At 43.9% G+C, this 16,007-nt stretch overlaps 1 protein-coding gene across 20 annotated transcripts in view; it reads left to right on the plus strand.

The window, feature by feature from the left end:
- IL12RB2 (interleukin 12 receptor subunit beta 2) overlaps positions 1 to 7,720 on the plus strand; it is a 91,361-nt gene extending 83,641 nt beyond the window's left edge. For 14 of the 20 annotated variants that reach the window (XM_011541384.3, XM_006710617.3, XM_005270827.3 and 11 more), the window contains one exon: positions 4,543 to 7,720. In XM_011541384.3, coding sequence (XP_011539686.1) covers positions 4,543 to 5,085 — 543 coding nt within the window. In that variant the 3' untranslated portion in view covers positions 5,086 to 7,720. The remainder of the gene's footprint in view (positions 1 to 4,542) is intronic. The other 6 variants (NR_047584.1, NR_047583.1, NM_001258214.1 and 3 more) reach the window with 1 other exon arrangement.

Genomic DNA, 16,007 nt, shown 5'->3' on the forward strand with positions numbered 1-16,007 from the left:
AAAAAAGAGTGGATCCCAGCCACAGATTCTTTAGGCATTTAAGTCTCTATAGTTTAGTGCCTTTGAAATCAAGCCCAGAGGCCACCCCTGCCTCTGCCACTTACTATGTGTGTGACTCTTGGGCAACTTGCCCAACTATCTGAGCCCAAGTTTCAGCCTCAATAAAACAGGAGTTGACAGTATCATTCTTACTTACCACTGTGAGGATTAAATAAGATGCCATGTAAAGCACATGGGTCATATAAGACAAAGATCATTCACTTTCTTCCCAAGAAGACCCATAATTTAAGTCTCCTCTGAGGGATTTCATCCCTATTAAGTTACAACAGCAAAAACAGTGATAATAACAGCAGTGTGTGTGTGTGTGTGTGTGTGTGTGTCTATACACACACACACACACAAACTGCTGTTTTATATATATGTATACAAACTGCTGTTATTACTATTTTATATATATAATATACAGGTTATATAATTATATATTTTCTATATTCTGTCATATAATATATAATTATATAATAATATTATACATTCATTATTATAATTTAGATATATTATCTTCTATGTACCAGGCACTTTTGAAAACATTTTCATACGTTAACATTTAACCCATAAACATCTCTATGAGGTCGTATGATTTTTTTTTTTTTGAGACAGAGTCTTGTTCTGTTGCCCAGGCTGGAGTGCAGTGGCGCAATCTCGGCTCACTGCAAGCTTCACCTTCCAGGTTCACGCCGTTCTCCTGCCTCAGCCTCCCTAGTAGCTAGGACTACAGGCGCCCGCCGCCATGCCCGGCTAATTTTTTTTTATTTTTATTTTTAGTAGAGATGAGGTTTCACTGTGTTAGCCAGGATGGTCTCAATCTCCTGACCTCGTGATCCACCCGCCTCGGCCTCCCAAAGTGCTGGGATTATAGGCGTGAGCCACCATGCCCGGCATGAGGTTGTATGATTATCTTCATTTTCCGCATGAGGAAATTGAGGCACAGAGGACTACGTAACTTGCCCAATGTTAGTCAGCGAGTACATGGTGGATCCTGGACTCATATCCAAGCAGGATATGCTGCCTATCATTGCACTACACATTTTAAAGGATCTTTAAACACGGGGTGAGGAGAGAGTTTCTAGCAGTCTACACCTCTGAGCTGAAGAGACTTATTAAAAGTAAGACAGGAGGAAGGTGATAGAAATTGGTATACATATGCCCAAAGTTGTGTAGTATAAGTGTATTCATTGCAGCATTATCAATAGAAGCAAAAACTCGGGCATAATGTAAAGGTGCACCAGGATGCAAATTAAACTTTTTGGGTACATCCATACAATAGGGTATTAGGCAAAAACTAAAAAAATGACATAGATCTATATGTGCCTAAAGATCTACAAGATACTTAAAAGTAAAAAGAGCAATATTTATCACAATTGTCCAAAGTGGGTTTATTTATATAAAAATGAGGGCGATTTTACACACACTCATACATCTGCAGCATGGGCACAGGATATTTCTGGAAGCCCACTATGATACATATGAAATGGATACTGGTGGTTGCCTCCAGGGAGAGGGTTGAGAGTATGAAGGCCACTTAATTTTCATTACATAGTCCCTTTGAACTTTTAGATATCTTTTTTTTTTTTTTTTTTTTTTTTTTGAGACGGAGTCTCGCTTTGTTGCCAGGCTGGAGTGCAGTGGCACTATCTCGGCTCACCGCAAGCTCCGCCTCCTGGGTTCACACCATTCTCCTGCCTCAGTCTCCTGAGTAGCTGGGACTGCAGGGGCACGCTGCCACGCCTGGCTAATTTTTTTGTATTTTTTTAGTAGAGATGGGGTTTCACCATGTTGGCCAGGCTGGTGACCCCAAGTGATCCACCCGCCTCAGCCTCCCAAAGTGTTGGGAGTACAGGCATGAGCCACCACACCTGGCCTAGAATATCTTAAGAAAACTGTGTGCATATAATTTTTTTGCAAAAATAACCAGTGAATTAGAAAATTTTAAAAATTAAGCAGCTTAAATATGGCCTCGAGGATGAAAGCCTTGAGACGGCCTTAGAACCCCATGTGGCTTGACCCTTGAAGAAGGTGGACTGTTTTTAGAAAGGAAACTGCTCTCCAGGTGCTAGGCAGAGGCAGACAACAGAAACACAATAGTGTGTCCTCCCCTCCTAGCAAATGTGCTTTGAGCTATCAGGCCTTCCCTCCCCTACTGTTTCTTAAGATGTGGCTACACCACCATGTGCCCTAAAGCTCTGAAGGAAAAGGCCAAATCATAAAGGGGATTGCTGGAGTGTTATCTAGCTTGTAAAAGCTTAAAATAGTGTCCATGAGGTTCCTGAACTGATAGTGGTTTAAGAGGCCTGCCCCCGAGGACTTGGCAGCCAGAGGGCCCGCTTTGTAAAAGCCGTGAGAGTTGCTCTCCTGACGGCAGAGCAAACACCTCACCTTGTGAAAACGACAAGCCATTTCCGCACAGGGTGTAATCTTTCCCACATCTGTGGTAGCAGCACTTTGGCGGCTCAGCTTCCCAGAGCTGCCAGCTGTGTTCCGAGCCAGACCCACGTGCCAGGGCCAGTTTGGGTAGTGATCAGAAAAGAGCAGTCTCCCCGAAGTGAAACGCAAACACACATCCTCTAGCTTGGCGGGGCCCTTTGTGGAAATCTGTTCTGAGACAGTGCCATTGTTCACTTTCCTGACACTTGCCATGTCCAAGGCAAGGGAGGGGATGTAAGAAGAAGATCCAGACCAAACCCCTCTTGCACAACTTGTCATTGGACAAATGAGAGAACTGAGATCCCAGAGAGGTTGGTTGGTTTTTCCCAGGCTACAGTGTTGGAGTTGGGACTAGTCCCCAGGGTGTGCCTTGTCCCACGGCTATTTTTTGTCATCCTACTCCTCCTGTAAGACATGGTCCCTGTGCACACATGGCTTACAGACATATAAAAAAAGTGACAGCACAAAGTATCACATGCCAAGAACCTAACAGTGGTTTCTTCACTGAACAGGCATCCAGGGAAAGGAACAGTCACCAGGGGCCTCATGGAAGGAGAAGGCACGAAGCAGGGGACAGTGGGAGGCACACACAAGCAGGGTGAAGGCCGGCAGTGGAAGCAAAAGTGTGTGGGGCACTGAGAGAAGGGCATGATTAGTAAGACCGGGACAGTGGTTGAAAGAGCAGCTTCTGAAGAGAAAGACAGAGAGGTGGAGGAAGGGCAGGAACCAATTGCCAGGCCAATGCTGGAATCTTGACTGTGCATGTAAGCCAAGTCAGCAGAGGCTCTGGACCCTCTGCTTGGGAAAGATCAGGCAGCCAGTGTGTAGGATTGTTTCTAGGATGCAAAGAGACCCCAATTAAAGCCCAGTTTTTTAAAAATGTTAATAAAGTGCCAAGGACTTGGACTCAGGAATTGGCAGCAAGTTCGGAAAGGAAAGAGATAGGACATTGAAGAGCTGGTCACCGGCAGAATGCTAAGAGAAAATAAGTGAGAGAATTAATTAAGTAACAAAAGTATAAGCTAATTTTGTCTGTTACAAACAAAATTAGCTAAAGGCAAAAAAAGATGAAAATTTCTTCTAAAAATGTTATTCCAAAGTAGTCTTTCTTAAAAGCAGATCTGACAAGGAATATTACCTTGCCTGAAACCTTTCGGTAGTTCTCTCAAGGCACAAACACCCTTGCATCACTTAAAAGGCCCTGTGTGATGTGACCGCCTCCTATTTCTGAAGCCTCGGGTTACCAGTCATAAGAAATAACTAGCAGGTTCCAAAATACACCAGTCCTCCTTGCCAGCACCTCCCTACCTGGAAAACACCACACATCTCTCAGGACTCAGCTCAGCTCTCGTGTCCCTTCATCACCTGTTTAGTGTGATCCTAAAGGCTTCACTGCCTCCTCCCCAAGACAGAAGCAGTCTCAGCCTTTCCTTTGCATCTCCAGTGCCCTCTGTCCTCAAGGAAAAGCAGGTAGTATAGCTTGGTTCACATTAGAAACGGGGCTGGGCATGGTGGCTCATGCCTGTAATCCCAGCACTTTGGGAGGCCAAGGTGGGTAGATCACTTGAGGTCAGGAGTTCGAGACCAGCCTGGCCAACATGGTGAAACCCTGTCTCTACTAAAAATATAAAAATTAGCCAGGCATGGTGGCACATGCCTATAATCCCAGCCACTCGGGAGGCTGAGGCACGAGAATTGCTTGAACCTGGGAGGCGGAGGTTACAGGGAGCCAAGATCATGCCACTGCACTTGAGCCTGGGTGACAGAAGGCGACTTCGTCTCAAGAAAAAAAAAAAAAAGAAAGAAAGAAACAGGTTGAAGGTTGAGCAGGGCTGTGAATCACTCACTGGCTGGGGGTTGAGAGGAGTCTCTGGCTCCTGCCCCTCTGCCTCCCCAACAATGTTAACTGTTTCTCTTACCTCGCAAACTCCAGTGCCCAACATGTTCCAGCCAGGGCTGAGGAGACAGTGCAGGTTGTGAGGCCTTTGGGAACCCTGGAGAAATAGGTTGTGAAGGTCACTTCTACAGCAGTGTGAGCCTCTTCCTCCTCCTTTCTCTCAGGAGAAGACACAGCTGCCCTTGGACAGGCTCCTGATAGACTGGCCCACGCCTGAAGATCCTGAACCGCTGGTCATCAGTGAAGTCCTTCATCAAGTGACCCCAGTTTTCAGACATCCCCCCTGCTCCAACTGGCCACAAAGGGAAAAAGGAATCCAAGGTCATCAGGCCTCTGAGAAAGACATGATGCACAGTGCCTCAAGCCCACCACCTCCAAGAGCTCTCCAAGCTGAGAGCAGACAACTGGTGGATCTGTACAAGGTGCTGGAGAGCAGGGGCTCCGACCCAAAGCCCGAAAACCCAGCCTGTCCCTGGACGGTGCTCCCAGCAGGTGACCTTCCCACCCATGATGGCTACTTACCCTCCAACATAGATGACCTCCCCTCACATGAGGCACCTCTCGCTGACTCTCTGGAAGAACTGGAGCCTCAGCACATCTCCCTTTCTGTTTTCCCCTCAAGTTCTCTTCACCCACTCACCTTCTCCTGTGGTGATAAGCTGACTCTGGATCAGTTAAAGATGAGGTGTGACTCCCTCATGCTCTGAGTGGTGAGGCTTCAAGCCTTAAAGTCAGTGTGCCCTCAACCAGCACAGCCTGCCCCAATTCCCCCAGCCCCTGCTCCAGCAGCTGTCATCTCTGGGTGCCACCATCGGTCTGGCTGCAGCTAGAGGACAGGCAAGCCAGCTCTGGGGGAGTCTTAGGAACTGGGAGTTGGTCTTCACTCAGATGCCTCATCTTGCCTTTCCCAGGGCCTTAAAATTACATCCTTCACTGTGTGGACCTAGAGACTCCAACTTGAATTCCTAGTAACTTTCTTGGTATGCTGGCCAGAAAGGGAAATGAGGAGGAGAGTAGAAACCACAGCTCTTAGTAGTAATGGCATACAGTCTAGAGGACCATTCATGCAATGACTATTTCTAAAGCACCTGCTACACAGCAGGCTGTACACAGCAGATCAGTACTGTTCAACAGAACTTCCTGAGATGATGGAAATGTTCTACCTCTGCACTCACTGTCCAGTACATTAGACACTAGGCACATTGGCTGTTAATCACTTGGAATGTGTTTAGCTTGACTGAGGAATTAAATTTTGATTGTAAATTTAAATCGCCACACATGGCTAGTGGCTACTGTATTGGAGTGCACAGCTCTAGATGGCTCCTAGATTATTGAGAGCCTTCAAAACAAATCAACCTAGTTCTATAGATGAAGACATAAAAGACACTGGTAAACACCAAGGTAAAAGGGCCCCCAAGGTGGTCATGACTGGTCTCATTTGCAGAAGTCTAAGAATGTACCTTTTTCTGGCCGGGCGTGGTAGCTCATGCCTGTAATCCCAGCACTTTGGGAGGCTGAGGCAGGCGGATCATGAGGTCAGGAGATCGAGACCATTCTGGCTAACATGGTGAAACCCCATCTCTACTAAAAATATTTTTAAAAAAAATTAACTGGGCGTGATGGCGGGCGCCTGTAGTCCCAGCTACTCGGGAGGCTGAGGGAGGAGAATGACATGAACCTGGGAGGTGGGGCTTGCAGTGAGCCACTGCACTCCAGCCTGGGCAACAGAGCAAGACTCTGTCTCAAAAAAGAAAAAAAAAAAAAAGAATGTACCTTTTTCCTAGATTTGCTGGTTTATTGTTTTATTTTGGCTTCATCCTCTTTCAGCAAATCAAGGGCAGCTGGATGGTGAAGACCTATATTGTAAACTCACCATAGTACCATAGTACCTTGGGCAACCCAGCCTCCCACTCTGAATCTCGGGTGTCTTGTAAAGGGCTGGACCAAAGGCTCCCTGACCCCTTGTTTCCTCTCCTTTTTGCTGCAGCAGGCCCTGCCTTCAGGACCAGGGCTGTCTCAGGGTCTAAGACCCCAACCTCTGAGGTTGTCCTCAGAAGTGGTCTGTCCCCTGTTCCCAAAGGCACAGCTTTCATTCCCGGAGAAGATATTGAGCTGGTCCTCTGCCAGCTCAAGTTGAGCCTGGAAGATAACTCTCTTTTCCACAACATGGACTTGGAACATGATCCATGTTTTGCTCTTTAAAGCTGTGGCCCCTGGCTTGCCACCCTCCCTAGCCCATTGCTGCCTCTGTCTCTTCACCATAGGCACTTCTGCCAAACTAGTGGAGAAGTCTTGGTCTAAACTGCTAATAATGCTCTTCCCTAAAGAACAGGATAAAAGATCCAAAATACTTTTTCTTAAATTCCTGTCAAGCCTGGGGTCCACCCCGTACCCCTTCCCACATGAACGCTGGAACTGAGATGGCTTCCCCATCATCGTCTGGATTTTCATTTAACAAAGTACTTGTTGTAAATGTGTACTTCTTGCCTAACGTGAGGAACTAAAAACTTGTCCATGCATACCCCAGTCCTGTAGAAATAACTGTTCTCGGGCTTTAGGTTTTCCAGATTTCCCTCAGAGCTCTAGAAACTGAGCGATGGACAGTTGCTCTGCTTCTTCAGGTTGGAACTCTTGATACATCCTTGTTTCCTGAAATTCCAAACTTAACACCTATAGTTCTCTCAGGCTTTTTTTGAAAAGTTCCTTCGTTTCTATTTCTATTCCACTCTATTTAGCTATTATTGTGCGGCACCCCCAATGGTTCCTTTCCTCTCAGCATCGCTGTAGCTTGCCTGTACCCAGGACATGCCCTTGACTGGCACAAACCGTGACAGACATGCCCTTGACTGGCACAAACCATGACAGACAAGGCCACCTCCTCAGAAGCGGAACAACCTATTATCTTTTGGCAATGGGAGCTAACTTCACTGTTTTCTTACAATACCTGGTTTTTCCTATCTTTGGTTTCCTTTTGATTATCTCTCATCCATCTCAGCCACTATTCTCCTCCCCTCCCTTGTGTCTACAACACCCCATTTTACCAAGTCTCCCATTTAACCTCCCCATCCTTTTCTTTCCCTTAAAGTCTCATATGATACTGCAGTCCTCATTTGTCTTCCCAAAAAAAAAAAAGAATTTTTTTTTTTTTAAGGAATCCTTCCTTGACTCCTAAAGACTCCTAAGGATGCTGAGGCCTCCTCAGCATGATTTCCATATACTTACTTTCTCTGTTGGACTGCAGACAACTTGAAAGCAGGAACTTTGGCAGTGTTTCCCCAGCACCAGCATCATGCCTGGTCCATAGTAGCTACCAATAAAAAAGTAAGCATCATGAACCCAAAAGTATCTGAGAAAGGTCTCAATTAATTTAAAAAGTTTTTATTTTGCTAAGGTTAAGGACACACATGACCCACCCTCAGAAGGTCCGGAGGACATGTGCCCAAAGTGGTTAAGGCACAGCTTGGTTTTATACATTTTAGGGAGATATAAGACATCAATCAACATATGTAAGATGTACATTGGTTGGGTCTGGAAAGGCAGGATAACTCAAAGTGGGGGCTTCCAGGTCATAGGTAAATAAGAGACAAAAGATTGCATTCTTTTGGGGTTTTGATCAGCCTTTTACTAAATACACAATTTACATGTGAGAAGGAGGTAGCTCAGGTGAACAGAGGGATGACTTTGAGTTCTGTGTATCCTTTGTCCCACACTTGTGAAGATCAGCTATGGTGAAATTCAACAGAACTGTTTTAGAGTAAAGATCTTGAAGCCCTCGTAGGCAAATTGTGAGGAAAGTATGCAGTTTTTCGGGGGAGAAGGGGAATAAAATGGGAGGCAGCTTTGCCTGATGCAGTTCCCAGCTTGACTTTTCCCTTTGCCTTAGACTGATTGTCTTTTCGCAGCAGTATCACTTGCCACTGCTTTGTCTTATTCTTTCTATTCCAGAAGCCAGCCCATCTGTGCCCATTTCCTCCTTATTGGAACAATTGTTTGCATTCGTTCATTTTCCTCCCCAAACCCCATTCTCTCCCATTTGTTGACAGCACCATTGTGATGCATGGAGGGGTGTTTCTCATTTTAAAGACGTATTTGAGCATGTCTTTGGCAGCTCACTCTGCCAGATAAGGTGTCCTCTTTCCATGAATGACAGAAGATGGGTAACTCTGTTCTGCCATTGCCCCAAGCGGTTTTCACAATCTGCCCTTCTCCCCTCTGCCCCCCACCACTAGTAAAAACCCCAAACCAAGTTGCTAGGTTCACCAGATCTAGGTGATACTCACCAACATACAGCTAGGCTTTCATTCCTCAGGAAAATTGCAATTTTGTGGTCTTATAATGATATATATTGGTTTCCATCCATGGTTGCGGGCTCCTGATGTCAGAGGTGTTTGAACCAAAGCAACTCCATCTTGAATAGAGGCTGGGTAACATAAGGCTGAGACCTACTGGGCTGCATTCTCAGGAGGTTAGGCATTCTTAGTCACAGGATGAGATAGGTTGGCACAAGATGTCACAAAGACCCTGCTGATAAAAGAGGTTGTGGTAAAGAAGCCAAACAAAACCCACCAAAACCAAGATGGTGACGAAAGTGACCTCTGGTCATCCTCACGCTTATTATATGCTAATTATAATGCATATAATTAGCATATAATATGCATATGTTAACATGCTAACAGACACTCCCTCCATGACAGTTTACAAATGCCAAGGCAACGTCAGAAAGTTACCCTATAGGGTTTAAAAGGGGGAGAAACTCACAGCTCTGGGAATTGCCTACTCCTTTCCTGGAAAACTCATGAATAATTCACCTCTTGTTTAGCATATAATCAAGAAATAACTCAGGCCAGGCATGGTGACTCACGCCTGTAATCCGAGCACTTTGGGAGGCTGAGGTGGGTGGATCACCTGAGGTGTCAGGAGTTCCAGACCAGACTGGCCAACATGGTGAAACCCCATCTGTACTAAAAATACAAAATTAGTCAGGCATAGTGGCATGCGCCTATAATCCCAGCTACTCAGGTGGCTGAGACGAGAATCGCTTTGAACCCGGGAGGTGGAGGTTGCAGTGAGCCGAGATTGCACCATTGCACTCCAGCCTGGGCAACACAGCGAGACTGTCACAAACAAACAAACAAACAAACAACAACAACAACAAAACTGTAAGTATACTCAATTGAGCAGCCCACGCTGTTGCTCTATGGAGTAGCCATTCTTTCATTCCTTTACTTTCTTAATAAACTTACTTTCGCTTTACTCTGTGGATTCACCTCAAATTCTTTCTTGTTCAAGATCCAAGAATCCCCTCTTGGGGTCTGGATGGGGACTCCATTGTTATGGATGTCCCATAACAATAACTCCCGTAGCCCTCCTCAGTCTTTTGCTATGTTGGGTGTGTCAGGCCTCAGGGACCAGCCTCTGACCTTCTCCTATCCTCCTTTCACTCTAACATTCCCCTGCCTTTCCAATTGTGAGTCTTAAGACCCTCCCATGAGAGGGTCCCACCCATACCCTGGGAGAAGGAAGGCTGATGTCATGAAGCTTCCATAAAAACCCAAGAGGGCCAGGCACGGTTGGCTCACACCTGTAATCCCAGCACTTTTGGAGGCCGAGGTGGGTGGATGACTCTAGGCCAGGAGTTCGAGACCAGCCTGGCTAATATGGCAAAAACCCCATTTCCACTAAAAATACAAAAATTAACCAAGCATGGTGGCACATGCCCATAATCTTGACTACTTGGAAGGCTGGGGCATGAGAATCGCTTGAACTAGGGAGGTGGAGGTTGGGGTGAGCCAAGATCATGCCACTGCACTCCAGCCTGGGCGACAGGGCAAGACTGTCTTAAAAGACAACAACAAAAAGCAAAACCCAAGAGGACTGGATTCAGAGAGCGTGAGAGCGTCCAGATGATAGCTGAACATGTGGAGATTCCTAAAAGGTGGCGCATGGGAGCTCCATGCCCCTTCCCCCATTCCTTGCACTACATATCTCTTTATCTGTATCCTTTGGAATAAACCAATCAAAGTTGTGTCTCGGAGTTCTGTGAGCTGCTCCAGTAAATTAATCAAACCCAAAGAAGGGGCTGTGGGAACAACTTGAAGCTGATCGGTCAGAAGTTCCAGGGGGCTGGACTTACAACCGGTGGGAGTGGGACAGTCTTGGGGACTGAGCCCGCAACTTGTGGGATCTGACACTATCTCTGGGTTCCCAATACCCAGAATAGTGTTGGCACTGAATTAGAGGACACCCAGATGACGTCTGCTGCTTGGTGTGGGGAAACACCCCCTGATGTCCACCATCTGGTCACAGAAGTTGCTTCTGTATTTAGTTGTGGTCTGAGAGTAAAGCCCAGCTAATTTTTGTATTTTTTGTAGAGACAGGGTTTTGCAGTGTTGCTCAGGCTGGTCTCAAACTCCTAAACTCAAGTGATTCGCCTGCCTCGGCCTCCTCAAGTGCTGGGACTACAGGTGTGAGCCACCGCACTCAGCCCTTGAGTTCATTCTTAATGAATTCATGGAAATCCTCACCATCAACTGTGAGATCCTCACCATGAGTATCTTTGAAGGACCTCTCTTTCCCTGAAGCCAGAGATTTTATTTTCTGGGTTTCTGCCTACCTTATAGGCAATAGGAAAATTAAACTAGTGTTAGTTTTTTTCTCTTCCTTCTCTTCACATTATCCCAATTTTTCAGCTTCCATTAATAGCTTTTCAGCTTCAGCATTAAGTCACCAATCCCCTGAGACCTGTGAAAGCAATGCCAAACTAGGCACATTCTATTATAGTCAGCTCCCCATGTACGATTCTTGGTTTATCTCCACCAGGTTCTACTCTTTTTAATCTAAATTAAAAATTTTGCATCTAATGCAGTTGTCACCTGTCCCAATAGCACCACTCAAGCCCTCCAAAGGAGGCATGTTTTCCTCTTCCTAACTTGCAGGACTCATGGAAGTTCACATTATCCACCTCTATGAAAGGCTTACAGGTGGACCCTCATGAGTAAAGCACCTCTCAAGAGATCAGAGGGTCTTCTTCCCACCCTAGAAAAAGATAAGCAATTCAATCAATCTGCTGGCTGATGGAAACAAACTGGATCATTACATCACAGCCTGATTAGAATGAATTTCCAAAATAGATTAAAATTAAAGCCTTGCAAAACTCTCTCTCTCTCTCTCTCACACACACACACACACACACACACACACACACACACACACACAAATATTTGCAACAGGTCAGGCATGGTGGCTCATGCCTGTAATCCCAGGACTTTGGGAGGCCGAGGTGGGCAGATCACTTGAGATCAGGAGTTCAAGACCAGCCTGGCCAACATGGAGAAACCCTGTCTCTACTTTAAAAAAAAAAAAAAAAAAATTAGCTGGGCATGATGGTGGGCGCCTGTAATCCCAGCTACTCAGGAGGCTGAGGCATGAGAATTGCTTGAACCTGGGAGGTGGAGGTTGCAGTGAGCTAAGATTGCGCCACTGCACTCCATCCTGGGCAATAGAGTAAGACTCCATCTCAAAAAATAAAAATAAAAATAAAAATCAGGAGTGTAAGTTGGCCCCTTTGTGGAGGGCAGACGGGCAATATTCGATAAAATCTGAATAAGCAACTCCACTCCTACATATAGCCCAAGGAACAGTATAATTATATTAAATTGAATACAGGATTCCTCAACAGCATTTGATTTTATAAAATGGTGAGGGGCAGGGAGTGAGAGGGAAAAGCCTTAAATGCCCTTCAGTAGAGACCTGGTTAAATCATGATATATCTGTACAATGAAACACTGAATTTCAAGGAATCTAAGACTCCAGCAGTTTTAAGACATCTCATTAGTTTATGTTCTAAGTAGAAAAAAATGCCAATAAAACGATAATATGCCATTGATATCTATGATGCACAATTTAACATGTTAATACGCCTGAAATTTGGGATCTTAGAATTGATAAAAAGCATTCTATGCAGTTTTGTTTTGTTTTTAGTATAAGCAAGGCCAGGTGCAGTGGCTCATGCCTATATTCCCAGCTCTTTGGGTGGCCAGGGCCAGAGGATCACTTAAAGCCAGTTCGAGACCAGCCTGGGCAATAACATAGCAAGACCCCATCTCTACCAAGTTTTTTTTTTTTTTTAATTAGCTGGGTATGGTGGCTTATACCTGTAGTCCCAGCTACCTGGGAGGTGGAGGCAGGAGGATCACCTGGGCAAGAGTGAGACCTCTTTTTTTTTTTTTTTTTGAGACGGAGTCTTGCTCTGTCACCCAGGCTGGAGTGCAGTGGCATAATCTTGGCTCACTGCAAACTCCACCTCCCGGGTTCAAGTGATTCTCCTGCCTCAGCCTCCCGAGTAGCAGGGATTACAGATGCCCGCCACCATGCCCGGCTAATTTTTGTATTTTTAGTAGAGATGGGGTTTCACCATGTTGGCCAGGCTGGCCTCGAACTCCTGACCTTGTGATTCACCCGCCTAGGCCTCCCAAACTGCTGGGATTAAAGGAGTGAGCCACCATGCCTGGCAGACCCTGTCTCTTTAAAAAAAAAAAAAAAAAAAATATATATATATATATATATATTTGACATGGAAACGGTCATTTACAAAAGGCTGAATATTTGTAATGACGTCTGGAAAAAATAAGAAAAAGGAAAAAAAGGCTGAATAGAATCATTTCACTTTCATAAATCAATGCAAAAAATTGTAAAGAATACACATTAAAATGCTAACCATGGTTACCTCTAGCCATAGTTTTTAACTAAATTTTTGCGTTCTTTTAATCACACCTACTCACTACTCTTATAATTGGATACTCAATAAAATATTACCAATTTCTTTTCAAAGACCTGGGACAGGGGGTCTAGAAACAGATACTGCTGACTACTTTCTTTGTGGCCCTGTCCCATGTTTCTTTTGCCCTGCCTTCTGTGTTTGGCACTTGCATTGACCCTTAGTGCTTCTGTCAGACCAAGAAAAGGCAAAGCACATGACACAATCAAGTGATGTGGGGATGGGAGTGTTAAGGTAGTATTTGAGGTCATCAGTCTTTGAAATCCAATTTATGTATAGGCCAGGCGTGGTGGCTCATGCCTGTAATCCCAGCACTTTAGGAGGCCGAGGCGGGTGAGTCACTTGAGGTCAGGAGTTCGAGACTAGACTGGCCAACACAGTGAAACCCTGTCTCTATTAAAAATGAAAAAAAAAAAAATTAGCTGGGCGTGGTGGCAGATGCCTGTAATCCCAACTACTCAGGAGTCTGAGGCAGGAGAATCACTTGAACCCAGGAGGCAGAGGTTGCAGTGAGATCGTGCGACTGCACTCCAGCCTGGACAACAGAATGAAACTATCTCAAAATAAATAAAAACATAATAAGCCAATTTTTGCCAATTCCTATTCTAATAGGAATTGTTAATTACAGTCAGTAACACTAACAGTACTTAGTGCATAGAGTTTTTAAGGACTGTAAATCAGTTCTTACCACCACACAGGTGAGGAACAAATACAAAGGTTAAATAATAATGGAATTCACACAACTAATACCTTATACCAGACAGTCTAGTTTCAAAGCGTAACTTTTAAATACTCTCGAATTCCATTCTGTGCAAATGTTGTACAAGTTTACATCAATTGGCATTCTCACTGTAGTTGACTGTAACTGTGATTCTGTACAAATCTTTGAAGTCTCCAAAAAACCTTTGAAATAAACTCAGACCAAAAAAAGTTATTTTTATGAGGCAACCAAAAACTGGTGTTTCCATACTTCTGAAGTTCTAGTTCATTCTTGGCTCTTGAGAAATCAACCTAAAAAAACAGATAAATTTAAAAACAAATTGACACTAGGACAAATCTGGCACTCTTGAATTTGCTAACTTATCTACCCAGCTAATCTAAATCCTATAATACAAGGTACAGGTAGGCCACGAAAACGGAAGCACCACTCCTTGAAAAGAACTATTTGAAGTAAACTGATAAATGGAGTATTTTAAGTCATTAATAAAAACATTCTTTTAAACAGGAACCAGAAAATATGCTCTTCCCTCTTTAATTGAAATATCTAGAATTCCACCCAATTTACTTGACTTTTTCTAAAAATAAAGGCTATTTCTTAAACAAAAAGGAATTAGGGCTGTATTTAACTCAATTTTGTTGCTGAGCTGTTGAAACAAATAAGTGCCTTTCCTTCATTCTGTGATAAGTGGCTCCATACTTTGCTAGTGGTCACTTCTTTTCTTATTTACAAGTGTCAACACTATTCTAAAGTTGGCTCCTCTGAGACTTCAATCACATCACTAAGATACAAACCTCTCATACGCTGCCAAAGGGTCCCTGTAGGTCAATTCAGGCCTCTTTTCAATTCCACAACTTTAAGGAATTCTTCCATCAAGAGACCTTGGCATTGCCTATGCAAGACCGTGACAGGTGAGGTTCAAGATACCTTCCAATTTCAGGCATTTTACCACCTATAAGTAATAGGACCCAAGGAAACACTTCAAGGAAGGGCACAACACCCACTCACCCTCAGGGCATTTTCACTAGTTAGAAAAACTGTAAAAACACTTACAAAATTGGATGAAAATTAGTAACAAAGAGCATTTCCTTCTTTTCACAACACTTGTTTCCAAAGTTTTTTTTTTCCAACTCTCATACTTAAATTGACTGGATTCCTTTGCCTTCCTGTAAACACTTCAGAGTCTCTTTACCGACTCTAATCTGTCTTTGGCAGAGTAGCTGTAGAGATGGCTTAAAAAGAATTACACCCACTTTTAACCTGCTTGTGAGATTAAAATAATTTGCAAGGATAATCAGTAAGTCATTTCATCAGCTACAGCTGCAATCTTCAATTCAAAATTTTTCATCTAAAAATCTGCAGTTATTTTTAAGGTTTAATAACCCTAAGCAGCAAGAGATTGATGATCTTGAAAAAAGGAAACATCCATGCTCTCCTGTAACTGAGAAGTGCTGGTTAAATTCTTTAATCAAGTTTATTGGAAATTTTCTCTTAATAAACTGTCAATTTTCTCCTGAAGAGAACCTCTCACGTTGTTTGTATTTTCACTTAGAAGTACTCAGCATACAAAGCATTTCTTAATTCAACATGACTTCCAGGTCTAGCATTTGACTAAAGATGCAAGAGGTCAGTCCAATTGTTAATACTGGATTGTGTATCAACAAAATCTACTGAATTTCGTTGATATACTGTGACTAAGTGCCACTCCATCTTCAACGTATACTGTTATGAACAAAATACAGAGGTCTGAAGCACACACAATATACCTGCCATGTGTATTGATTTGCCTGTGACTAGTGACCAATGAACATCTGCCTTAAGAAAAGCTTTATCCAATCCAGGCTTCCAATACATTCTTCAGAAGATCCTGATTTAGGTTTTAGCACCTAAGTTAAAGGCTTGGCAAATATGCAAGAAATATACTACAAAGCTTAGAACACAAAATCAAATTAAAACCAAATTATCTGTAGTTGTTAATGAAAAGTTCTTTTTATTAAAAAAAAAAAAGTGGAAGTTTAACTAGAAATTCTGAATTTTGATCAGGTTTAGTGGCTCATGCCTGTAATCCCAGCACTTTGGGAGGCTGAAACGGGTGGATCACCTAAGGCCACGAATTCCAGACCAGTCTGGTCAAC

This window comes from Homo sapiens, chromosome 1 (assembly GCF_000001405.40).
Source record: "Homo sapiens chromosome 1, GRCh38.p14 Primary Assembly".
NCBI classification, from domain to species: Eukaryota; Metazoa; Chordata; class Mammalia; order Primates; family Hominidae; genus Homo; species Homo sapiens.